The 27,216-nt window shown below is 45.1% G+C and overlaps 1 protein-coding gene and 1 long non-coding RNA gene across 2 annotated transcripts in view, besides 1 other annotated feature; one reads left to right on the forward strand and one right to left on the reverse strand.

The window, feature by feature from the left end:
• The window catches only part of COPB2-DT (COPB2 divergent transcript), a 193,517-nt gene that overhangs the window by 61,234 nt on the left and 105,067 nt on the right, over nt 1-27,216 (forward strand). The window lies entirely within an intron of this gene.
• Nucleotides 1,848-25,480, reverse strand: RBP2 (retinol binding protein 2). Its single transcript, NM_004164.3, has 4 exons — nt 25,351-25,480; nt 11,076-11,254; nt 3,693-3,794; nt 1,848-2,130 (listed from the first exon to the last, which is right to left on the reverse strand). The coding sequence occupies exons 1-4, from the start codon at nt 25,421-25,423 to the stop codon at nt 2,080-2,082; spliced, it is 405 nt and encodes a 134-aa protein (NP_004155.2). The 5' UTR covers nt 25,424-25,480; the 3' UTR covers nt 1,848-2,079.
• Nucleotides 21,811-23,010: an enhancer, noted in NCBI's record as "BRD4-independent group 4 enhancer chr3:139191689-139192888 (GRCh37/hg19 assembly coordinates)". NCBI's record gives its function as "activates an origin of replication core promoter dependent on BRD2, P300/CBP, MED14 and CDK7 cofactors, and independent of BRD4, by STARR-seq in HCT116 cells {active_cell/tissue: HCT116}" and the evidence as "EXISTENCE:reporter gene assay evidence [ECO:0000049][PMID:35650434]".

Below are 27,216 nucleotides of genomic sequence, written 5' to 3' on the forward strand. Positions count from 1 at the left end.
CAAAGCACACTGTGGATGTGGAACTCTTCTGGGTGAAGGGGATTCCATGGTTTCAGGCTGGGTGTCTTTGCTGGAGGACTTGTCAGAGCTTTAAAAATGCTAATTCTCATTGTGAATTTCTAGGAAGGGGATATAGTTCTCCAAATTTATTTGACCATAAACCTTTTCATGGAATCTTAACCCAGGATCAAAAATAAATACTAACCCCTTACCTGCGCAGAATACTTCACAGTGAGTCCCCAGTGGGCTTCAGACACAACCTCATTCAATAGGGTTTTCTTGAGGGACAGATGAGAGGTCATTTGAGCCTGTGGCGAGCAAGGGCAAGCCTGGCGAGAGTGATAGGAGTGGGGATGGGCTCTTGGGGAAGCTCTAGGAAGGTGGGGACAAAGGGCCCACTTCACTGGTCCCTCTACTTGGTTCCCTGTCTGCCCCAGGAGAGGAGGCCTGCACTTCCTCAGGAGGCTCCCCTTCCTCCCCAGCGCCTCTCACTGACTTGACCAAAAAGGCCATGCATGTGAGAGAACTCCGCCTCCTCCGTTCTCCCGGCTAACATGAGGCTCCAGCCAGGCACTTTTCTGGCTTTCTTGCTGCAGGAACATGGCTTGGTTGTTTGGGAGCACAGCTTGCCAGGAGGCCCATAGCATGATGGCTTGATCAAAGGGCTTGAGCCAAGGCTGGCCCTGGGCCACATGGCTGGATTGCAGCCTTTCTATCCATCCCCCTAATCCCATTTAGGATGTTCAGGATCAATGAAAAGATCTGATCATTCAAATCATACCAAAGTGTGCTAACACCATGTGCTACCCCTCTGGGGATAAACCTGCTTTACAAAGAGAATGCTTGCCTAATGGTGGGACAGAAGGATGAAGGACATGCCTTTTACCTGTGGGACCCCATGAATTTAGGACCCCGTGAATGATCCATCACAAATCCGTCTGCATTAACCACTCTGTCCTTCCAGGTGCACTATTCCATCTGCGTATCCAGCAGCAAAATACAATTCTGCTCAGAATAATGAACCTAATGTTCTGAAGGCACCAGAAGGTTGTGGAAGTATTGACCTATCTCTAGTTAGCATCTGCTCACCAGGACCCCTGAGACTGTGGAGGGGGTAACTCAGCAGAAGGACCAGGGCTAACAGGGACTGAATCCTTACCACATACCAGGGCCCGTTCCAAACACTTTGCATGTTTTAAATTGCTTAATCCTCACAATGACCCAGTGGAGGAGATGATAGTTTTGTCTCTTCTTCATATTATGATAGAGGAAAATGAGGACAGAGAGGCCAAATGACAGGCCCATGGTCAACCAGCTAAGAAGTGAAGGGGCAGGACTTGAATTCAGGCCTCCTGGCCCCAGAGTTTGCAGCACCTGGCATGTGGCAGTAGTTGAGAAGTTACACTGAGTCTGAGTAGACCTGTAGTTAGTGACCCCCTCCACAGCACAGGGCTGATGGACAGTGGGCTGGCTTGGGCCAAGAGCAGCTGGCACTGCAGATCTGTTGGAATAGCTCTGCCCAGGCTGCCCAGGGCAAGTTGCAGACTGGGAGGCATATGTATCCTAAAATAGAACTTTTGAGAAATAATGTGCATCCAAAGGAATGAGTCTCAGACGAGGATGTTCAAGAATCAGTAGCAGATGCTGTGCGGGCCACAGAATGTTTCTAGGTAAAATGCCCTCCTCCCCACCCCCCATGTCCCCCACAACCAACAAACAAGCTAAGAAAAAAGAAACAAAATAAAATAAATTGAAACAAATTAATAAACATGCAAAAACCACACAGACAGTCATCTCTTCTGTCTGTGGGTAAAACTGACAGCTCTAGAAATAAACGGAGATCCATATAAAGGGTTTCAAAATATGGGAGTAATTTTTGTTTTTCCATTTAATGCTAGGTTTCAAAGGAGGGGAATATGTCTATCACTGCTACATAGGCATTCTGTTTAAAACCCACCCAGATGCCTTAATGGGGCTCTGTCAAGAGTGGGAAGGTCCCCACAGCTGTTTCTCAAAGCCAGTAGACCACTCAGTGTGGGCAGTGGGGAGCTTGTGCTTGGCAGGCCTCCCACGTCGCCATCATTTCTTTTTGAACACTTGACGGCACACCTGGTCACCACAGGTCAGCTCCTGCAACGTCAGAAAGTGGGTGAGGGTCTAACAAGCCAGGCCTTTCTTCTGCCCAGCCCTCAGCCCCCTTGGTATCTGGGGGTGGGAGGTTGGAATAAAGAGGACACTTAGGTATTCTGGGCAAAGTGCATCTCACAGACCCAATCAGCGGGCATGCCCTGCAGGTAGCAGTAATTTGATTTTGACACTTGAATTGAGCTTGAACAACTATAAAAATGAAAAATGCAAAGAAATGACCCTCTTGGGCAGGATTTCTCCTACTCCCATGATTAAAGTAACATGACCTAATTTATAAAAGGCAGCGAAGCCATGAGGAAGGAAAGGACCTAGTGTAGAGAAGTGTTTGGAAGGTAGGGGCCTGAAAAGATGCTGGCCAGTGAGCTGCCCCTCCACCCTGTGGGCTTTCTGGCCTCTGGTGATTAGAACATTGGCTGGTGGTGGCGCAGGTACCCGCAGGGTGTGAGGTGCAGAAGGGCTTTCCCAGGCTTGCCTGTGCAGCCGACAAGGTCCCGCTTTTCATCCAGATAGAGGGAGCCCAGGCCTTATTTGACCCTCACTGATCCTCGAAGGAGGAGGGAAAAACATGAGTGTGGGAAGGACCACCACAATCATTGCAGTTGACTGTGAATCCATTGTCTAAGCCACAGAGAGCACTGGGGATTGTATTACAATTAGAAAAATCCACCATCCAAACCAGTGCAGGTAGGGAAAGCCATCAATGCAAAACACGATAAATGCCTCCCATATATCATTAGCTGACATTGCCTTCAAAATAAAGATCTCAGGTGAAGCAAGGCTGGCTGTGAAGGGCACTGTGGCAACCTGAATACTGACATTGGAGCCAGGTACCTGCCTCATTCCAAAGGTGAGTGAATTAATGAATGAAGAGCCATTCACTGAATGAGCCATTCATTTACAAATGAGCGAAAAAGGATGAAGGAGTGAGAGATTTTTCACCATTTGAATGCTGAACCCATGAAGTGCCTTGAAGATTGAAGAATAAAAAATTAAGCTGTCTCAACAGGTATAAGATATTTAAGGATATCAGTTATTGTTCCTACTGCTCTGTTCTAGTACCAAATTACCTTAAAATATTTTGGGGTCAGAAGGACATACCTCATGGAGAGAGGTCAATACCTGTGGCAGTTCCCAGGCAGAGTGGGTCCTGTCTCCTCCCCACCCCACTCTCTCTCCCAGGCTCCCATCATTATGAGAAGGCCCTGTCCCACCCTCCTCCAGGGCATCTAAATTCTGTGGCTCACATTTCTCCCCAGCTGGTCTTTAGCAGGTTCCCTGTATTTCTCCTTGGATCTCTGCTTCCTAACTCAGCATTTTGAACTTTCTTTTGAATTGCAGCTGTTCACAGAAACAGCCATATAGATTTCTTCCTGGAGTCCCCTGAGCCAGATGGGAATGGCTTTCTGACTATATGACCACATGCATTTGGCTGGAGCTCGGGGTAGGAGTGCAGGGCCATTTTTCTTGTCAAAACACCTGGCTAGGTGACCACAGTAGCGTGTGTAAGCACAATGGAAGTGAGCTGAGCAGAACCCAGTACTTACCAGGTACAGCTTGTCCCCCTCAATCCACTGCTTCCAGCCGCGGTTCTCCTTCTCCCCCTTTTGCACACACACAAGGACATCACCTTCCCAGGTGACCAGTGCCTGTAAAGACAGATTCCCAGGCAAATCAAACACATGGTCTTGAGGGACTGAACAAATCTAAACCTGCAGCTGCAATTCCTGCAGCCATTTCAGGGTCTTGCTTACTCGAAGGGCAGAGCCCTCAGCCTCAGGGAGCCAAGATGCTTCCAATGTCATTTTCCACATACACCCTCCATTCCAGCCAAACCAGCTTATCTTGGCTTGCTCTGTTTTCTTTCAAGGAATTCTACTCTTCCATTTTTCCTTATGGTAAAAATAGCATTTCAAATCAGTGGGGAGAAGATGATAAATTTCACTATATAACGATGTAAAATTTCTGGAAGGGGAAAATACCTTAAAGTCAACAGAGAAACAAAAAACTGGGGGAAAATGATAACATATCAGCAAAGATTTGATTTCCTTATATATATAAAGGGCTCCTGTAAATCAATAAGAAAAATGTCATTAACTTAATAGTTCACGTTAACAAAGAACATGAACCAACAGCTTACAAGGGGGAGAGAGCCCTAGCAGATGGCTTCTAAACATAAGAAAAGACATTCAGCCTCACATTATAAGAGAAATGCAAATGAAGACTTTGTTTTTCAGATACAATTCATCATATGGTCAAAGATCAAAGAGTTTGATAATACACTGAATTGGAGGGAGAGTAGAGAAGCAGGCACTCTCTCTTATACAGGGCACATGGGGATATAAATTGGTATAAATCTCTTTGGAGGGCAATTTTATATTACCTTTCAAAATATAAAACTGCATGTACTTTCTGACCTAGAAATTCTACTTCTGGGAATTTCTCCTTCAGGAATCACACTGTGAGACCTGCCCACTATAGGACACCAATAAAGGCAGGGGAGCTCCCTAAATAATCAGGGGGTTGCCCAGATGGCTCCAGTACCTGCCTTCTTATCCAGAACCAGATGGGTGGACCTTCTGGTTCTTGGGTTCCTCCCAGCAGCAATGCCAACTGGTTAATAGCACAGGGGCAGCAGCAGAACATGTGCTGAACAGCCAGGCTACAGTGGCCAGCAGGTTGGAGAAGCCGTAGGCCTTCTGAATCCCAAGAGTGCTCAAACCCCTGTGTACATGTTTACAAACTATTTACTCTTCAAATTTCTCCTCCTTCTGTTCCCCACTTTTACCCCTCCTAATACCTGCTATAATCTGTACTACCCCTAGGTGGTCCTACAGGGCCAACCACTTCTGTGCCCAAATTAGGCGTGCCCTTCCTGAGATGATTATGTCATTCCCATCTGAAGAATGCTTCTGTGCCTGTGTTGTTCTTCTTCGGGGATGACCCTGATGCTAGCTGATTTTCTTCCAAGTATGTGCAAACTACATTATGCCTCTCTGAACAATATTATGCTAAGGACCAGATGTTTACTTTTCTTGGTGTCTTGTAAACCCAGTTGGTGATAAACTGACCTGTGGTTTTTTCCCCAGTGTCCTTGTACATTTGGGCCTGTTTTTTTTGGTACAAATCTGTTTTCTACAGATTGTTAAATCTACCTATTTCTAAAATAATATTTGACCTTGACCATATTATATACTTTATGTACAATTTTATTCCTTCTCATTTTACTCCCCAGTGCATCACAGCATTCTTTGTTACAGCAAAGGACTAGAAGCTTCGTAAATTCTGTCAGTGGGTGGCTAGTTAAATATGGTATGGTTCATCCCTGCTATGCAGTCATTGAAAGAATATAGCCGTAGTGTATGGTTTAAGTCGAAAAAGCAAGGAGCAGAGCCAAATGCATAAAGCAGACGGGGGTGGGTATGCATGCATGCATATGTCTGTACATGTTTCCTGCAAGGAAGTAAAAGAAACCCTTACTAGTGATTGTCCCTGAGGAGAGAACTTGTGGCTGGGGCTAGGATAGAAAGAAAATGTTACTTTTTACTTTTTGATTTTTTTTAACCATCTGCATGTATTCATATTCCCAAAGCTAATTTGAAAATAAAATTCTACATGTTTTCTAAAGAAAAAAAAGGTCTCCTTTTCCTTTAGGACCATCCTAAACCTCACATCTTTAAAGGTCTTGGAGAAGCTATATTCATAGGTTGCCTTCCTTGCTCTTTTGGGAGGAAGATGTCTGGAATAATAATTTGCTCTTTCTTATCATGAGCTTTGGACTCTGAGTTTTCCTCTAAAGAGATGAGAAAGGACTCATGTCTTCAATTTGGGCAAGGACGGTGTCGTCTGTCCTCCTCACTCCCAGATTGCCTCACACATGATAGATACCTAACACGTGTTGGCTGAATTGATGCCTGTCTCCCCCAGTAGACAGTAAGCTCCATGAAAGAAGATGCTGTATCTGCTGTTCATTTCTGCAACACCAGACTCAGCACAGTGATCAGCATTGTTGAATGAATCTCTATTTGTTGAAACATAATCTTGAAGTAAATCCATTTGCTTCCTTGCCTTAGTTTCTATGGTCCTACCAGAGTGCACACACGTACATCAATATGGTCATTGTTCATTTACTTGTCTGCCTTCCCCAGGAGGCTTGCAATGCCTGAAGGCAGGAGAGGGCGTCTGATTCATCATTTTATCACTAGCTACTGACTTAGCCCTGGCATGTAGTAGGGGCTTAGCAAATTTTATGGAAGGAAGGAAGAAGGAAGGAGAAAAATGTTAGTGCATGGGCCTGTCCTAATATTTTATTTTAATAACTCATACTGGACAGCAAGATTAAAAGTTGTTCTGACCCTAAAGTAAATTGGTTACCAATAAATTATGATAATACTTACAATATTATAGCCTTACTCCTATATAAAAATAAGAAGCAGAAAGAAGAGAATGGTTAAATGAACTAAAATTTCTCAATTTAATCTGCTTTTAGTTGGTGCCCTTCATCCCTGCATCAGAAGAGATTTTTAAAGGAGGCTCAATTGCTTAAAAGATCCTCAGGTTGAGGAAATGGAAACAAGTGAGGAAAGCCCTTCTTTCTCAGCTAGGGGATAAAGAAGGAGTACATTCCAAGGGCAGATAGCTGTACACAGAATTGAAGAAACCTGGGCTCCCACCATGCTTTCCACTATCACAGTTTCCAAAGCTAACATTGCTTAAAACAGCCCTTTATGATAAATTAGATACAGGCACTGTATCAATGTTAAACTTATAGAAGCTGATAACCATATTGCAGTTTTACAAGAGAATACCTTAATTATTAGGAAATACATACGGAAGTATTTAGGGCTAAGGCATCTGATTGTTCAGAAAAAAATATTTGTATGTTAGAGAGAAAGCATGTGCACATGACAAAGCAAAGGGGCAAAATGTGGTAACTCTTGGTAAAGAGTGTACAGGTGTTTTTTGTTATATTCTTGTAACTTTTCTGTAAGTTGGAATTACTCGCCAACACTTTTTTTTTTTAAAGGAAAACAACAGCTCTTTAAGAGCATTGAAGGACAGTATTCACATGCTCAACCCTCCTTAGCGCACTTGCCCTCAATTAAGAGTTCTTTGGTTCGCCTGCAGGGCCCTTCCTCTGGCAGCGCCTGTCTGCCACTCCTCTTCTGGGGGCTCCCATCTTCTTCTGCCATCAGAATGGCATTATTGGCTCTAACCGCCATTGTCTTCCCTGCTTTTCCCTGCCCTTACTGTCTGCCCCAATTTCAATTACTTATTTTATTATTGAGATATAATTCACAAAATATAAAATTCACCCTTTTAAGATACACAATTCGGTAGCTTTTAGTACATAAGGTTGCGTAACCATCAATATATCTAAATCCAGGTGATTTTCTTCACGCCCCAAAAGGAACCCCTATGTACTAGCAATCACCATTCATTTCCTCTATCCCCTGTCTCTGGGCAACCACTTTCTCTCTCTATGAATTTGCCTGTTCTGGACGTCTCACATACATCACACAATACGTGACCTTTTGTGTGGGGCTTCTCTCACTTAGCTCGTTTTCCAGGTGCATCCATTTTGTAGCATGAGTCTGTCCTTCATCCTTTTTCATGGCTGCATATACTCCACATTCCATTACATGGGTATCAATTGCTTATTTTTAATTTTATTTTATTTTGGGGGTAGCTTGTGTAGTTTTGGAAGGGGCTTTAACTTCTCTTAGAAATCAGCCAGGATAGGAAGTTGGGAATACATAGAACCCACAGGAAGTCCTTCCTAAGGGGAGTCCCTGACTCCTCAGAGGAGAATTGACTCTGTGATCAATGTGGTTGCATTGCTTCTGCTCTGGGCTGGCATAGAACTGGGCACTACAGGGCACAACATGCACCTCTCCTCCACACTGCCGAGTGGGGAGATTTCCAGAGGGCTTGTAAGGGTGACCAAGTAGTTGAGACATGGAGCCCTGGAAAACAATAGCATGAGGAGTACCACACACACTCTCACACTCACACATCCTCACACTCCCACACGTGTATAGGTGTTCACTCAGGCATGCCACCAAGTGTGGGTGACAGAAATTAATCACAGAGGCCAGGCATGGTGGCTCACGCCTGTAACCCCAGCAGTTTTGGAGGCCGAGGCGGGTGGATCCCTTGAGATCAGGAGTTCACGACCAGCCTGACCAACATGGTGAAACCCTGTTTCTACTATATATATGTGTGTGTGTGTGTGTGTGTGTGTGTGTGTATTCATATTTACATATATTTATATATAAATATATATATATATTTAGCCAGGCATGGTGGCGCACGCCTGTAATCCCAGCTACTTGGGAGGCTGAGGCAGGAGAATTGCTTGAACCTGGGAGGTGGAGGTTGCAATGAGCCTAAATTGAGCCACTGCACTCCAGCCTGAGCAACGAGAGTGAAACTCTGTCTCAAAAAAAAAAAAGAAAGAAATTAATCAGAGAAAGAGATTTGCCCACTGTCTAGCACCCCCTTCCAGCTGAAGGGTTCCAGTGAAGTTACAGGAAGTAGGTAGTCCCTTGGGCATCTGCTCTGCATGGTGATTCTCATGGGAATGGCCCATTGTTGGAGGCTGGGCAAACTGTCCTGGGTACTTCTCACTCCCTACTAAGGGTGTGTGTGAGTGTGTGTGTGTGTGTGTGTGTGCATTCACTCTGGCTTTCTAGTGAAGGCAAAGAGGAGGCAAGCTGTGGGAAAGAGGATTCTCTCTCTTTCTGCAGGGCTAACTGCTGACTGGAGAGGGGAGAAAATGGAACACGGAGAGACAGAAGAAAGGTAGGAGTGTGTTAACACGTGGAATTCATTAAGGGCTGGAAGGGTGATTTATTTTAGGAAGAACAAGTTCTCTACCATCAAAGGTCACAAAGGATCAAGTCAGAGAGGACAGGCCTGCTTTTCAAGAGCCCACAACCAAAACAGAAAGGTGAGGGAAAATGAATCATTTTGCACTGATTGGGTTGGAACAGCAGAGTGATGCAAGAAATTCTGAGATCAATTTTCCTAGCAATTCTGGTGTCCAATGAATTGGCTTTTCAGCCAGATGGTTCACAGGTTCAGAAAAGGCTTGTTGATCCATTATCCCCTCAGGGAGGGGTTCCATAAGTGGACATTCCAGGGCCCAGAATCATAAGTTCTCATGCCAAGAGTGCTCTGGTGGAAAAATTTCCATCATGCTTTATATTTCCCTACTTTTCTTTAGCAAAGAACACTAAATATAATTCAACCTTGACTTGATGGCTGAGATTATCAATGCTACAGGACAACTTGACTGAGAAATAAAGTGTGTCCAGCTCTCTTGGCTTTTAATTGTCACCAAATAATAATAACAGCTTTTCCTCCCCACCCCAGGAGAGGAGTCAGAGCTTGTGCCCATTGCTTTCGGGGAGAGTTGAGACCTCTGACTTCTAATGAACTCCTGGAAGGACAGTGTGAGAGTCTCTGGGTAGTGGCCTGACCTTGGGAAGATCAGGACTCATGGTGAGGGGGGCAGGGCAGGGCAGAGGGTGTTGCTTGCTTTGTTGTGGCACTTGAAGGGCTGGCCCTTTGCCGGGGGTGGGAAGGTGACAGCACAGATACCTTGGGTCAGAGTACTCAGCTCTGTCCTCCCTCAGTTTGGGAGATAGGACAGAGGTTCCAGTGGCTGAATTGGCCCAGAGGGAAAGGATGCTTTGAATATTCATACTGCCCAGCCTTGTATAAAATGCATGGGCATAGACAGTGAACAGTCAATTGCAACCATGAAAAATGACAAGCCGGGAACCTTCCCAAATCTCTTGGACTGCATATCCCTGGGGTTCGTTACAGTGGGAAGGTTTGGTGGAATCCTTAAATACAACTGAGATTGGATTTCTCCTATTCCTGTTTGGTGGGGACTGACCAGGTGTAATTTGATTTGGAAAATCAAAAACAGGCACACTGAGCATGAATGTGAGCAGGAGGGCTGGTTACTGGGTTGGGATACCACACGGTGATGCTGGGGAGAGCTGCTGTTACCCTTGCCTTCCCAGCACCTCTCCACTTCTCCCTGCTGCCTCTGCCTTATTTACAAACAGCTCCTGTGGGCAAGAGCCTGCTTCTTCTGCAAACTCAAGTTTTTGGGCTTTGAGATAACTCCCTACTCCCCTCTCAGAGTTGTTTTCTGCCTGCTTTCAGGGTCCCATCTATATTCAGTAGTTCAAATGGTGAAAGTCTGGCCTTCTGATACATGGAGAGTTGCCTAGATTATCCCTTGTTGGTTAAGGCAATGCTAGGACAGAAGCCACAAACTTGCCAGAGATTTCTCCAAGTTATTAGGGCTGGATAAATCTTGACTCCACTTAACCTACTGATTTTTTTTTTTGTTTAATTTGGATCATTCTTTTCTAAAAAAATGAAATCAGCTGGGATCATCTATAATTGAGATGTTTCATTTTATACTTGCTCTTTTTCAGCAGAATCATAAAAATTTGAGATATTTTATATAAAAACATCTGATTTCTCTACATCTCCTAAAAAAAATCTGGCATCTTCAGGCTTCGCTCCTCCATGGCAGTGCTTGGCTGGCACTGGGCAGGGCTGCCACCTTTCCATGTGCCCTTGCTCCCCAGCAGGTGCAGGTGCTGTCCCTCCCTGTGATGTTCCACCTTGCCCTCTTCCCTCTGCCTGCCAGGCCCATGGCTGTATATGACTCATAGGCCCTGGCCCTGGATCATGGAGAGGTTGAGCTCTTAATCTCTCCTAGGCCTGCCTCTTCCTACTAAACTGTCAATAATTGCTCATTGCCAGCATGATTAAGGCCATCCTGGTCCTCCTTTCCTGATTTTTCCCAGGTTGTTTCTAATATTTTTTTTTTCATCATGATACCAAATAGCCAGCCCCTGGCACAGAATGTGTGAATGAAAAACACCAGCCCCGGTCAGTACCTTAACATGCCGGTTATCCAGGCTCTTTGTGTACTCGTCAAACTCTACTCCAACAGTGAAATCCACATCATAGTTGCGGAATGTGCTAGTGGTTTTTGTCTTGAAGTTATCACCATCTTGATCAATAACCTTCGTCTGAGTGAGACGTACTGCAATCTTGCGGGTGGCAAAATCAATATCTGTTGGCAAAGGGAGTTGTGGAGGTTATGATGTGCTCAGCCAGACTCATTCATTTCGTTAACAAGACCAAACATTCAAGACTAGAGACACAGATTGTGTGTAGGCCACCTGTCTTTGCTTAAGTGGGAAACAAGCATCTTACTCGTGGCCAAGTTGGGCATTTCAGTCAGTTGCTGGGAAACCTAGGAGTCTCCTGGCACCTCCTCAGGATCCCTGATGGGAGGGAGATGTAGCACGCAAGCCTCACCCCTAAGCTGCAGCTCCCCAACACACACACACACACACACACACACACACACACACACACGTCACAGCAGCTCTATTCTATCTGACCTGTTGGGCATCCTCCTAAGAGTTTGCTGAACAAAAAGATCTCATGATTTAAAAGAAAAAAGACTTTGGAAATCACTAGTTTTAATCATGGATAAAGATGAAACTTAGGAAACTTTTGTTAATGTCCACAGCGGGGAGGGATAGTTACAAGCTTTCATTTTAACAGCAGACTGTTCTGCCTCAGTTCTTAGCCCCCAGTATAGATTTGTTTTTTGTTTTGTTTTTTCGAGACAGGGTCTCACTCTGTCGCCCAGGCTGGAGTGCAGTGACATGATTTTGGCTCACTGCAACCTTGACCTCCTGGGCTCAAGTGATCCTCCCATTTCAGCCTCCCAAGTAGCTGGGACAGCAGGTGCACACCACCATACCCAGCTAATTTTCGTATTTTTTGTAGAGATGGGGTTTCACCATTTGCCCAGGCTGGTCTCAAACTCCTGAGCTCAAGCGATCCATGTGCCTCAGTTTCCCAAAATGCTGGGATTATGGGTGTGAACCATCATGCCTGGCCCCCAAGGTAGTTTTAAACGTATTCTGGAAAATAAATATTTGTTCAGAGATTTCTTCTTTTTTTTTCTTTCTTGAGATGGAGTCTCGCTCTGTTGCCCAGACTGGAGTGCAGTGGTGCAATCTTGGCCCACTATAAGCTCTGCCTCCCAGGTTCATGCCATTCTCTTGCCTCAGCCTCCCAAGTAGCTGGGACTACAGGTGCCCACCACCATGTCTGGTTAATTTTTTGTATTTTTAATAGAGATCGGTTTTCACCATTTTAGCCAGGATTGTTTTGATCTCCTGACCTTGTGATCTGCCCACCTCGGCCTCCCAAAATGCTGGGATTACAGGCATGAGCCACTGTGCCCGGCCTCTTCTGTTGTTTTTAAGGGATAGGTTAATAATTGTTTACATTTTTATTATGAAAATGTTGAAACAAACCGAAGGAGTGTTGAATGTCCTAAGCGTTGCATATTACAAGAAGAAGCAAACCCCTAGTTAAGCATAAAATGTGGCTCAACTAGAGCCATGCCAAAAAGTTGTTGGCCTGTGGAGTAGATCTAGAAAGAGAGGATAGTTCTGAAAATACTTGAATTTCTTTCCTTGCTATGAAATCATCACTCTTGGTCTTTAGTCAAATATCTGATTCCCATTATGCCTGTAAATTCTCCAAATATCTTTAGATGCCAATTTAAATCTTTAATATTTTTTTTAGAAAATCCACTGAGAAGGTTTTAAAAAACCTAGAATTGATTCTATTAAAACCCAAAGATAATATTGACCTCAAGAATAAGAACAGTTCAAATTTATCGAGTGCTATTTCTCTGAGAACTGCAGTACCATCTTTATGATATGTAAGTGATGAAATTTCATGTTGTGCAGTGTCCGGTACAGGACAAACACTATATTGTGGCCATGAAAGACAGAGCAGCAGGTAGCTCAGGAAGTTCCTGTCAGTTTGGAGATTGACGACTCTGCTGTCTTCCCATGGTGGCCAAGCATCACTTCCCTTACTCTCTCCCCATTTCCTTTCTGACCCATTTCCTTCAAAAATCCTTCTTTGGGTCTGGGCCTGGTGGCTCACGCCTGTAATCCCAGCACTTTGGGAGGCCTAGGTGGGTGGATCACCTGGGGTCAGGAGTTCAAGACCAGCCTGGCCAACATGGTGAAACCCTGTCTCTACAAAAATACAAAAATTATTCGGGCATGATGGAGGTGCCTGTAATCCTAGCTACTCGGGAGGCTGAGGCGGGAGAATCACTTGAACCCGGGAGGCGGAGGTTGCAGTAAGCCAAGATTGTGCCATTGCACTCCTCGCAATAGAGCGAGACTCCATCTCAAAAAAAAAAATCCTTCTTTGGTCACTATTACTCCCCTTTTCCCCAAAATCAAGGAGAGGCCGAGTTGAACCTCACTTTGGGTCAGCAATCTGAATCCACAACAGAATCACAGCTGCATGAGAAAGGGCCCTGGGTACCTTTAGACTCTAACTTGTATAAAGTCAGATTTGAGCCTGACAGAACAATTTTAAGTAATATTAGCTAGCCAGAAGGTAAAAAGATTACATACCTGTATCCTAAGTTGAAAAGAGAAGTAAGTTCAAGTTGGCATGAGCTGCTGCACAAATGCCAGTGCCTTGCTCACCTCTCATTCTCTACTATTTGTTGAGTACCTTCCATGTCTAGGAACCAGTGGGTCCCAAAGCTAGTTTCCTTTCTGGATCACCTGAAACAATGAAAAAAATGCAGATTTCTGGGTCCTATCCCAGACCTAGAATCTCTGGGTGGTAGAGCTCAGTGATTTCAGATTTTGAACTTTGTCCATAGGAGGCTGTTTGGAAAAAGACTTCTATGGTTTAAAAATTTTGAAAGCTACTTACTGTTAAAGTGCCTACTTTTCATGTCAGAGATGATGAAGTAAGACCTAGAGAGGTCAGTCTACTTGTCTAAATATACATGGCTGATACAGCAATTGTAGTGGCTTGGTAATTGGATAGATGTGTAGAGAGATTGAGTTGGAAGGAAGAAACAGTTGTTCTGAGCTTGGATGATCAAGATGAGAGCCAGGGAATAAAAGAGGGAACTAGTTTTATGGGGATACATAGTGAACTGAATTTTAGGTAAGGTGAATCTGCGAGCCATGCTGTGTGGACTCTTGGTAATATTTGGGGTGGCAATTAAGACACGCTTTGTGTCTAGGGATGGTGTCCCTTTGTGTCTAGGGATAGTGTCTAGGGATGGTGGCTCAGGGTGTAACCTCCCTTGGGAAACCTTCCTCATTTTATTCTTCAAATAAACCCACAAGATAAGTTTTATTTTATCCTCATTTTGCCACGGCGGAAAAACTGCCTCAGAGAAGTTGTGTCACTTTCCCTGGATTATGTGGTGAGGAGGCAGTCGAGATGGTACTTGAACTTAGGATGATCTGTCTCAAGGGCCAGTGCTGTGCTCCCCAAGCTCTGGGGTAGCCCAGTTAGACCATCCCCATGTGTGCAATTTCTGTGGCTGCCCAAGATACTAGTAACTTCTGATTCTGTTAAATTTCCCCTGGAGACACAGGGACTGTGGGATTCAGTTGGATGAGCCCTCCCTGTTTGAGGCAGTTTGTTTTCCAAAGCCCTTGCATACTGTCCCCCACCAAATGGCAATTGTTTTCTAGGCCCAGGGCTGTATAATAAGTGAGAGCTGAAGCAATCACACTCCAGCCGGCTACATTATCTGGCAGCTCATTTCGCTTCACCTCTGTGGCTTATGGAATTGTACGTGAGCACGTCCAAGTCACATAGCCTGTGAGGCATGGGGTGTGGGGAGAGACGAACGGTCTCTCGGCTGCCTTTGGTTCTGTGAATTCCTCTAGTCTTCTTGGCCAACATTCCTAGAGCCCCCACTTCCCCACTGTATTTGCCATGGGGTACAGCTCCATCGGATGTTTGGTGGTCAAAAAAATGGGCTCACGAGCAAGTAAGTTTGGGAGATGAGGAATTAAAACCAAGACAAGCTGGTTTCTGCCCTGTAGAATTTCATAGATTCTTTAATATGGGAAAGGTGCTTTGTAGCTCCAAGTTGGAGGGAAGGTAGAGGATGCACCTTTTCAAAGTCTGAGGTGGCCACGGAGCCCCTCTGTGGAGGAATATGCAGTCTGCCAGGTGTCCCGACACAACTTACTATGGAAAGGGCTTACCAAACCCTTTCTGACACATGTATCTCAGCCACCTTGGCCTTGCAATCATACCTATTTAATTTTTCTCTCTTCAAGGTAACTGCTGACCTGTTTAGGTAGGACCAAGTGGTCAAGTATTTCCGACTTAAAAAATGAACCCTTCCTTAAAATTGCTACAAGCCACTGAAGAGCATCTTCCTTGTTCTAGTGAGTACAAGCACATGCTTGTGTCGTGCAGAGGAACTGGCAAGAGGCTGGCATGTCACACTCCAGCTGATATTTCTCTCCTTCTGCCCCAAGTGTGTCCAGCTTCAGTCTCGTCGCTGGACATTTGGTTCCAGATCTAAAGCAGCAGAGGGCAGTGGCCGTATGTGGAGCTGTTATTAACTGCATCACCTTGTTGTGAGGATCAAATTTGATGGTGTTTGTGAAGAGCTTTGCCCAGTGGCTGGCAGCCTGTGATCATGGCTCTGTAAATGGAGGCTGCCATCATCATAATATCATTATGAAGCCCCTGATCTCACAGGCCAATTTCCTTAGTTCTTTGTGTTTTCCCACATATCCCTTGAACAGTTGCTCTCTGAATCCCTGTCACTCTTGTCCCAGCTTTCCAAATCTCATAAGGCCGAGCCCCAGATTTGCCTCCTCCTACTCTTTCTTGCCTCCTTCCTTACCTGCTATCCAGGCCAAACAGTTTTACTGCTCCCCTCTGCCTGCCAACAGTACTTAGCATTTCCCCCTGCATTTTTCATGGAGTTGGTTATTCTTTCCTGCAGTTTCACCTCTATGAGGACAAGGACAATGACATCTTCTTGCTCTGTGTTCTTCCCCACCACACCATCATAGAACCAGGTCTTGAGCTAGGCAAATAGTAGGTACTCAAGAAGTACTATGGATTAGCTAATGGAGGCAGCAAGGGCCAGGACAGTGATTATTAAAGTGAGGTTCCTGGGCTGGCAGCAGCATTAGCACCTGGGAACGTGTTAGAAATGCAGGTTCTGTGCCACGGCACTCCAGGCTGGGTGACAGAGCAAGACCCTGTTTCTAAATAAATAAATATAAATAAAAATAAAAGAAATGCAAAATCTGGGGCCCACCCTAGACCTATAAAGTAGGAGCTCTGTTGGCCAGGCTCTGCTTGTCCTTACAAGTCTTCCAAGTGATCATGTGCATGCTAAAGCTTAGAACTGTGGTATAAATGAGTAAGGGTAAGGGGCAGATGCAGGTACAATCCTGTCTCTTATTTCCTAGCTAGCTGTGTGACCTTGGAGAAATCACTCTTCCTTTGTAGGAAAATGAGGAAAAGAATGCTCACTTCAGAGGACTATTTACAGTGTGGATTCAGTAAAAATAATGGTAAAATGCTTTACATAGTACCAAGTAGCTTGTCCATATGCAGTGCACATTGCCGTCCACTCTTGGCCTTATCTGTTTGGGTCAAGTAGGGACCAAGTCAGCATTCAGTCCAGAGTGAAAGTTTTGGGTCATATTTATGCATCTCCATAGCTGTCTGCACTCCATGTTTTGCAAGGGGCTTGGACTCCACAGGAGAAGTGGGAATGGTGGCTGATACACTCTCTTACTGTCATAGACTTGGTCTGTCCCATAGGCATTTTATCCAGCCTGGCAACACTTTTCTCTGTGTGGATCAGTTTCCTCGCTCTATAGTCTGGTGATGGGTAGAACCAACTTCAGCTCCTTCTCCAGTCCTTTGTGCTAAGGTCTGAGCTGTGCTAAACCATACTTCTGGAACAATAGTTAGGAGATGAGAAAAGAAAAACCATAGGTCATCTGTTAACCATAACCAGAAGAAACAGGGGAAGGCTCTAGGTAAAACCACTAAGGAATAATTGAAAATCTACAGAGAAATTTAGAACTGAAGTGTTCCTCTGAGAGCAAGTCTATTTCCACTCAATGGATGTGGAAACTGAGGCCGTGAGAATTTAAGTGGTGAGCTCAGAGCTACCCAGTTAGGATAGCACTCCTGACAATTTCTTTACAAACGCATTCTGTTGTCATTTGCAACTAACACCTCCGCTCCCCAGTAAAAAGTATTGCTTGTCCCTGGTTGCATAGAAAGGTAGATCACAGTTAAAAATACCTATTGCTGACAGAACTGGTTTGTCCTGGAAACACCATCCCTAGTCAATCTTTCTGACCAGTGCCGGGGGAATCTTATTAGAAGACTATGCAAATGGAATCAAGCATCACTACTCTTCTGGATTGAAAAATGGCTTGGCCTCTTGGCCACCCTTCAGTGTTTGCACAACCCAGTAAATCATGTTGCCTCTGCTCTGCCCCAGGGAAGGTAGCCAAATGTTCTGTTGGTGGACTCATGATATTTCTAATCAAAAGGGTTTAACTGAGGATGTAGAACACACACACAAACACACACACACATGCACACACACACACACAGATTATAAAAACACTTCCTCTTCGTACTTTGCAGAGAAAATTATTTTCCTGGTATGGTATTTTAACACCAGGGTTATCAAGCATGTTTTATCTCCTTTTCTGGATTAAGGGTATCTCTGAGTCTGATTTATAGCCAGGTGAAATGAATTTCTATCTCAGAAGGAAAGGTCCAAAGGCAAGCTATTTCTGAATAATATATATGGCTTTTAGCTGCTGCAGAAGGAAAAAAAACAACACGGACCTGACTTTATTAAAACATACTTTTCATAACTGCATTTTGAACAATACAAGCCATAAAGGTGAAATATGAGTATGCTACTCAACATTAAAATGCTTTGTAATGTGCTTATGAAAAAAGCTAAAGTTGCAGGCAAAAAGGGCAGGTGCTCTTTGTAAATTAAAGAGCAGAGAGGCACAAGTATTCATCATATGAAATCTGAGAACCATTCAAAGTGCAGCTTTGATGGGCTTCAAATTTGGACTCCTTAATTCTCAAATCATTGGCACTCTTAGGCAATTGTGAGAAGCAGAGTGTAAGAACAATTTTCTCCTTTTTTCCATGCCACTTCCTCCTCCAGAAAACACATTTAGAAAGGAATTAGATGAGATCCCTGCCTGCCTCCTCCTCTCACTTCCTTCTAGGCACCGGGGGCAGGCTGGAGACCCTAGGGTGCCTCCCTGCTCCCTATGCACTGTTTCTCCTCCCCATTCTTAGTCTACTGCATGCTTACTGGGATGGACATTAGAGTGGAGCTGATGCCAACACATGCAAGGGGAGACTTGTACAAAGGGATGACACCTATCATTACCTAGGCTTTTTCCATCCCTCAGCATTTCCCCTTTGAAAGTCCTACCAGGTACCATATGGTTCAAGTAGAGACTTTGGCAACGTGTATACCTTCATTGACTTGTGAGCACCATCAGGAATCCAGATTTTATGAAACAAATTCTTAATTGGAGCATCAGACATCTATCTGTCTGTCTGTCTGTCTGTCTGTCTATCTATCTATCTATCTATCTATCTATCTATCTATCTATCTATCTACCTACTCATTTTCACCCAGGGACTCTGAGTGATTCTCTTTCAGTGTTTCTGAGGGTCCTGCCTATTTACTTTGGATGCCTCCATTTGGACATACCTTGTTCACAGTGAAGCTCTTTCTTCCCTACCTCCATGTTTTATACCCCTACCAAGAACAGTGCTGAGGAAAGGGCTGTGGGTGTTAGAAGCAGATAGCCTGGGCTCCTGTCTTAGGCTCCATCATTTCCTAACCACACGTGGCCATGGATAAGTCTCTCCACTTCTCTGGATTCCTCACCCCATAAAACGGAAGGCATTTCTTCTGAATTTATCTCTGACTATATCCTGAGCTCTATATCCCATATCAAAGTGCCAATTTTAATACTCCATTTGAATGTGTAACATATCTGAAACCAAAATATGCAAACCAGAATTCTTAATGCATGCTCCCCCGCCACCCCAGCCTGGTACCTCCCCACCAAAACTCACTCCTCCCGGTGACTTCCCCATTTCAGGCAATGGGATTGTCATCTGCCCAGTTATTCAGGCCTAAGCCTGGGACCCAAATTCATTTCTATCATTTCCTCTCACTTCATATTCATCTGCAAACCCCGTGAGCTTTATCTGCAAAATATATGCTGAATCTGTCCTCTTTTCTCCAGCTCCACAGGCACTGCCCTAGCCCAAGCCATGGTCATTTCCTGCCTGGACAACACAGCAGCCTCCTAATGGGTCTCTCATCCTCTCTGCTTGCAATCTTGCCCTCCTATGATTCATTTTCCATGCTGTGGCCATAGTGATCCTTAAAGAATACAAAGAGGATTAATTTGTCTTCCCAGCATAAGGCTGGTATCTGCTTTGCCTTCTGCCTACCTTTCTACTCTCACTCCCTGACCACACCCCCAACCCCTCCGGCTCACACACTTTCAACTCCCAACACACCAGCTTTCTCAAATCCTTGGGCCCAAGTGATTCTCCCCCCTCAGCCTCCTGAGTAGCTGGGACCACAGGAACGTGCTACCAGGCCCAGCTAATTTTTTTATTTTCTATTTTTTGTAGAGGCAGAAGCCTCACTATGTTGCCTAGGCTCATCATGAACTCCTGGCCTCATGTCACCCTCTTGCCTTGGCCTCCCAAAGTGTTGGGATTACAGGTGTGAGCCATCACACCTGGCTTCATGTTCTTGAACACACCCAAAACCTTTGCACTTGCTGTCCCCTGTGTCCAGAATAATACTAGTCAGCGTTCAAACCTGGGTTCCACTGTCACCCCCTCAAACCTTCCCTGACCACCCATCACACGCCACTCCATTATTCTTTTAATTTTCTTCTCAGCACTCACCACTACCCAAAATAACCTTAAACTATTTGTTTACTTTCTGTCTCCCCACTAGCATGTAAACTCTATGCTGGCAGGGAACTCGTCTCCTCATTTCCCACTATATCTCCAATGCCTAGAGCACTTCCTGATTTGTCATAGGTGCTCGATACATTTGTTGAAAACTGAATGCACTAAAATGAAGAAATGCATATAAAGCTCTAGTGTGATGTGTATCATGGTATGAGAATAATTTGTGCTTGTGCTCACCCATCATGCTAGACTGCAGGCTCTTAAATGGTCAAGATGAGATTTTGCACAAGACACATATTCGGGGAATATTTCCTGGCAGAGACCACTTAGATGGGAGCTGTCTGACTTCAGCCTCTCAGGGCTCTGCCTTCCTAGTGGAGCTTTCAGAGACCCACTAGAACTGTTTGTGATAGCCACTGCACTTTTAAGTTTGTGCATGTCAATTTAAGTGAAAAAGATGTTCTTCATAGAAGATAATCCTCACCTTCATTTGTGAATTAAGAAAATAATGGGTTTTCCCCAAATAGTTACAATTTATGGAATGAAAATTTCCTAAAAGAGGTATAAATTTAACATCTAATTTTTGGACACATGCTTCCCCATCTTCACTGGTAAAGTTATGTGATAGTTTTTCATGTTCTAGGCTGACTCCTCCCTGACTCTTCCTCCTCTAGTCACCAAATCCAGTCTATTTCCTGCTCTGGACATCTCCCTGTTCACCCTTTCTGGGTACTGCTCTCAATACCTTCCCAGGGTCATTGTAACAACCTCTTTAGTTCTCTGACAGTCTGCTGGTCTATTCACTCTATCTCTGTTAGAGTGAGCATTGATAGCATCTCTCTCCTCTGCATACAATTTCTTCCTAGACCCTCTCCTTGCAAGGTGAAGTTCATGTGCAGCACACTGACTTAAAGATCCTGTTGCTTTTCCAGACTATTCTTTTGCCTCCTCCTTGCACTTCACTCCTTGGTAATACAGTGCCTTCTGGTGTCCCAGGCCCATGCCTGTGCACACACCCATGGGGCTATGCCTGACTCCATCTCTGCATGGAGAACTCCTGTTCTTCCTTCAAAGCCCCACCAAGAAGTACTCAGGAAGCCTTTACTGACTCCATGTACTGTAGCTCCTTTCACCACCATGCACACACTTCTTGTTACTATTGTTCTATTGATACCCATAGCCCCTTTGAGCCCAAGGCATAGAATCTCAACTGGCCCATCTGTGGCAGATTATATTTTCTTAAATGGCTGCAATAACACCTCTCATCCTACATGCTGTTCTTACAATGCAACCTTGACATTCATCCCACTGAGAGGTGGGGTCTATGTCCCTTTTCCTTGAATGCAGGCAGGCTTGTACCACTTCAACCAATAGAATATGGTGGAAGTGGTACCCGGTAGCTTCTGAAGCTGGGTCATAAAAGGCCATGCAGCTTGTATCTCTTCTCTTTGGATACAGCCAGCATGCTGTGAAGAAACCCAGGTCACATGGGGAGACCACATGTAGATGCTGAAGGCCAGTTAAGGTCTCAGCTGCCAGCCAGCACCAACTGCCAGACATGCATATGAGTAAGGAAGCCTGAGATGGCTCCAGCCCCAGCTGCTGCCCAATTGCAACCAAATGAAAGACTTTGAGCAGGAACCATTGGGGTGAACCCAGTCAGCCCCCAGAACCATGAGAAATAATAATTAAATGACGTGGTTGTTCCAAACCACTACGTTTTGGGGGTAATTCATCAAACAGTAATAAAAAACAGGAATACCATTTGTGCATGGCTGTAACCTGACTCCTTGAGAGCAGATTCCAGGGTTGGTTCTGCTTCAGATGGCACAGTCCCTGGCATCCACAGCACCTTCTAAAGCTTTGGTAGAGAAGTTGAATGATTCCCACCTGGGCAGAGTTAATGAACTCTCTCCCAGTATTCTTTCACATTATTGAGACCTCCTTATGTCTGTCCTTCTTGATCATCTCTTAAAAATGAAGACCACCCCTCCCATTCCTTCATCGCCTGATCTGACCTGAAGGAGGACTGACTTCAGGACATGACAAGTTCCTCAGGGCAAAAGAGTTCACCAACTGGTTTCCTCACTGTCAAGAAAGAATCTGGGGTGAGAAACACCAGGTGCCTAAGAAGGCAGGAGAGGAAGTACCACTGACCCTTGGCTCACTCACCTTTTGAACTCTTAATGATGTAATTTGTGGCAAACCCAAAGGTTACCATGATGTGTTACTCTGCTGAGACTGGTGGCTGAGTCATGATGGGAGGCCAGTGTGTGGAGTGGGTCACTGGGCTAGTGACAAAGCCAGTTTACTGCCCAACCCCACATCTCAGTAGAGTTGCTCTTTCCTTACTGAACCAACAACCAGGCCCACAGAAAAAGCAAACTCTCTAGTGCTAGGGGTTAAAGTATTAGAAATCGATGATTCTTAGATAGGGAATAGGCACCATCCTTAACAATAGTCACACATTTGAGGATGTCTACACATACTCTTCCCAAATGCTAAGGGTCTCTCTGCTCAAAAGGGTAAGGAAGGCAAGCTTCGTTGACATCTCAGTGTTGGGAAAGCAGCCTGTCTTATGTCCTGGGCATGGAGGAAACTGTTGAGATCTGTTGGGCTGCTTTTAGCAGGTTAGATTGAAGGGGCAGCTCTTCCTTGCCTGCTTCTAGCTGAGCCCCCTGAGACCTGTCTTCAATCACTGCCATGCCTGCCCCACCCATGTTCCCACGGCAGGTTGAGAAGGACAAGGGGTCCTACCTCAATGGTGATAAGATGACTCTGGGTGAGGCATTTCTGCACAGGGCCTCATGACTTGGGCAGGAGCAAGTTTCTGGGGTCCTGAGACACTGGGCTGTCAGCATCTGGGTAAACCAGGCACCAACAGATTCCCACTCTGGGTTTACCTAGTAGTACCATGTATGGTATTAATCTTAATCAGTTGAGTGTCAGCCTAACACTCTACACTGCGGAGATCATGGGACAAAGAGATCAAACGACTTGCTCATTAGAGTGAAATCAATGTAATGTGATATTAAATTGGAAGTTTTGGCTGAAGCTTTAAGAGACAATAAATATTTGATGCCAAGGAGCATTAGGAAGTCCAATCTGAAACCTCAATGGTGAAGATATTCAAATATCACATTCACAACTTGTGAGCCCCTTACTCACATTAAAGGTGTAAGTTGATGTGAAAAGAGTCCAGAGGAAGGCTGTTGTTAGAGGCAGGATTTCTTGGAGAGAGCTGATGGTGTAGTGTACTCTGCATCCTCCCAACCCCCAGGAGGAGAAAGAGGGTGGTAGGAATGCTTGCTTCTCACCTTAAGCCTAGAGAGGTGGGCTTTAGGGGTCCACTCTGCAGAGCCATAAACTAAACAGAGCCTAGATTTTAAATCTAAGTCATCATAGGACTTTTTGTTACTGAAGCATAAGCAGCAAAAGACACAAGGTTTCTTTCTAATTATATTACTTGACTCTGGCTTATTCAGCATATTGCTGAAACCTTGAAACTTCCAAATAACCCTTGTTAAAGTACTTTTAATTGCTCAAAACCACAAGTACATCTAATATCATCTGGAGGGACAGGCAAGGCTGGGGCTATTATCTCTATTTGGCAGATGAGGAAACCGAGGTTCCAAAAGGTTAAAAAACTGGTTCACGGTCACAGAGCAAGCCCTGGACTCTAGTCCGAGCTGTGTTGACCCTTCTGCTTTGGTTTCCTTATCTGTATAATCTTGTTCAGAATTCTAGTTCCAAGCTATGCTCCAATCCATTTACCCATGTGTAGTATCAGAATCCCATTTCTATTGGCCACTCCTGGTACTAAAAATCACAGGTGCAACAGGGTTGAGGATGGGGCTCTGGTAGGAGGATTTTTGTCTCTTTCTTCCTCCTCCCAACTATATTGAGGTAAAAATCCTGCTAACCAGAATGAAAAGGAAAGCTATTCAGTGTTGGAAACCAGTCTAAAGAACATGAAGAGGCCGGGTGCGGTGGCTCACGTCTGTAATCCCAGCACTTTGGGAGGCCGAGGCGGGTGGATCACAAGGTCAGGAGATTGAGACCATCCTGGCTAACATAGTGAAATCCGTCTCTATTAAAAATACAAAAAATTAGCCAGGCGTGGTGGCGGGTGCCTGTAGTCCCAGCTACTCTGGAGGCTGAGGCAGGAGAATGGCATGAACCCGGGAGGTGGGCTTGCAGTGAGCTGAGATCGCGCCACTGCACTCCAGCCTGGGCGACAGAGCGAGACTCTGTCCCCAAAATAAAAAAAAAAAAAAAAAAAAAAAAGAACATGAAGAAAGTGCTTAGTTCCACAAATATGGAACATATCACAGCTCTCCTTTTTCATTGACATGGTGGACATTTTCAAGCTAGAAGTTTATCACACCAAAAAACTCATGATTTCCACTCTTGGAGAGACCTCCCACCATCATATCCAAGTTATTATTGGGCCTCTAACTCCACCCACTGCCGTTTCTCTCATTCTGCATGTGGAGGAAGTTCCAGCGAAGTTACCCCATATGTGGAGAACTTTAAAGCTAGAAGAGGTGATAAAGAGGCTGCTGAGGGATGGAATAAGGTCAGGCAGCCAAAGCCCCTTGCTCAGCACCTGGAGCACAGGAGCCACCCAGTAACTGTGAGCTCCCCTCTGGGGACCCACTCACTCTAGTCCCAGGCAGAACCTGTAGGCTGGGCAGGGCTATGTGTTTTCTGCCAGTTCCACAGGGAACCCACTCTGTGGTGAACTCAGGACATGCACCAATTGGTAGCCCTTGGCCTGGAACCCAGTTCAGAAGTCATATAAGCAGTGGGTTGTTTGTGCTATCTGACAACAGCCTCTCTAGGCTTCCATGAGCTTGATTTTCCCTAGGCTGAGAGATTTGCTAGCTATTTCTTTTCTGCTTCCCCATTACAAAACTGATAAAAGAACAATGCAGAGGTCATTGGTGGATAATATCAGGTCCAAGTGGTTATCAGAGAGATGGTGGTCACAAGGCAGAAGAGCGACTGTGTTATCCTCTCAAGTTTGGCTTTACTCTGTTGTGTGTGTATCCTCCTGACATACACATTCAGTGTATGTTTTCTGTGGGCCAGGCACTGTGCTAAGGCATCCTAGACATAATCTCATTTATCATTATTCCCAGTTTCCAGATGAGAAAACTGAGCCTCAGAGAATTCTTATGATCTGCCTAATATTGCACAGCTGTACATGAGGCATGAGGATTTGCCACAGGTCTGTTGAACTCCATAGCAGCACTGTCTGGAGGGCCAGACCACAGTACTCCCAACAACAGCTACCCTCCCCATCCCCAGTCTCCTCCTTACCCAGGGCCTTCATGTAGCCCTCAAAGTTTTCATTACTCTCCATCTCCCAGGTTCCATTCTGGTCCCTTGTCATGGTGGTGGCCACTGGTTCGGTGAGGGTTTGTGGTGGATGGCAAGGAGCAGGCTGCAGGGAGAATACACTGGAATGAGCTTCTTTTATAGCCTAGTGGGCCAGGTTTGTGACTCTGAAGATAAGAGGTTCAAAGGGCAGAAGCACAACTCAAAAGAACTTTTCTTTGTAAAGTTCAGCGAGACTATAGGTAACCCACGAACAAAGTCCTGGTATGGCCAGGCGTGGGTGTCCTAGTGTCCTGCACCATAAGCAGGGCCCTAGAGCAGCTCATTTTTGGCTGGCTGGGTCCCCATGGGCCCCTTGTCCCACACAGAACATTTCATCCAGTAATGGAAGAAAACAAACATCCAGGGTCTACCCCACATGTACTATGGGTCACTAGTACCCAGGCCTCAAGCCTGGAGTCTATCAGCCATGAATCCAGCACTCATAGCAAGGCTGGTGAAACTGAAAAGACAGAATTCACACCTGTGGAGCTCTACTCTACTCTGTTCCAGGCAGCATGCATACTTCATCTTGTTTCAGCTTACAAGAGCTCTGTGAGTTATGTTTAACCATCCTTATTTTACAGATGAGAAAGGATCATGGAGGTTAAATCACATGTCTAATCACAACTTGTAAGTGGTTGAGCCAGGATTCAAACTCAGATCTGTTGGGCTCCAAATCCTTTTCTTCAACAGTGTGCTAGGTCAGCTTTGAAAGAGGTTTGGAGCCTGACTTAAGAGACCAAATCTCTCTTGCTTCCCTGTGGAAGCAAGGTGCCCTGTGGACTTCCTAGCAGCAGGGTGAGACATGAGAAAAGTGTTTTCTGGGAACATGATTCTGCTAAAAGCAAGCTGAGCCTGGAGGGAGTCCAGATGGAGGCAGAGGGGTAGTGGAATGTTGTTTTAAGATCCAAGGGGAAAGCTGAGGATCACCTGGATCAAAGTGGGGGCATAGCTGGACAAGGACCCTTGGTTCAGGAATGTTCTCCAAATGGGCTGTCCCAATGGAAATGGGTTTAGTTTATTGCTCTGACACTCTATTCCAAGATGTGGTGTCTGAGAAGTGACTGTGAAGAATGGAGGTGTGGCCTGAGACAGATATACCATGAGTTCCCAAAGTGAGACCTATTTTGATGATGACACTGCAGCTCTCATATATGTATCCTTGTGCTGTGAAATCTAAGTAAATGACTCTGTGTGTGGTACGAGGGATATAAAACAGCACATTTATCTTTCAGTAAATACACTGGAGTTAGGAAGACAGAGTGAAAAATGGCCCAGCTGTTGTCAAAAGGCCAATGGGGAAAGGTAAGGGGTGAGAAAGAAATAACTTTACCACAAATGGAAAATGAGTGGAGGAAGGAGTAGACAGATAAGAAACCTTGGAGATTCATCCTGTGAAGTCCAGCCAGAAGCTGCTGTAGACTGAGCATTCAGCCTCCTGGGCTGGAGAAGTAGATAGTCCCTCCCAGGTCAAATTCCAGGGCCTCCACCGTCCCTCCTGCCTGCAACTGAGGCCTCCTACCCCGTAGGCCTCTCCTGTAAGAATGTGTAATGAGAAGCTGGCCTGGTAGGGGAAGGGGCTGGGGGCAAGACAGGAGTTGCTAATTGCACTAAGCCAGGGGCTTGGGTTTTCATGGGCATTGAGGGGGGAGGAATTTGTCTTGGTGTAAGACGCAAATTTGAAACTGAGATGTCTATATAAAGCCAGGCACTTGAAGGGCTACTCCCTCATTGAGGGTGTAAATTAGTCAAAATCTGCAGCAACAGACAAGAAAAAAGTTTATCTACTTGGCATGGGATCTACAT

The sequence above is a fragment of the Homo sapiens genome, chromosome 3 (genome assembly GCF_000001405.40).
Source record: "Homo sapiens chromosome 3, GRCh38.p14 Primary Assembly".
Classification (NCBI taxonomy): domain Eukaryota; kingdom Metazoa; phylum Chordata; class Mammalia; order Primates; family Hominidae; genus Homo; species Homo sapiens.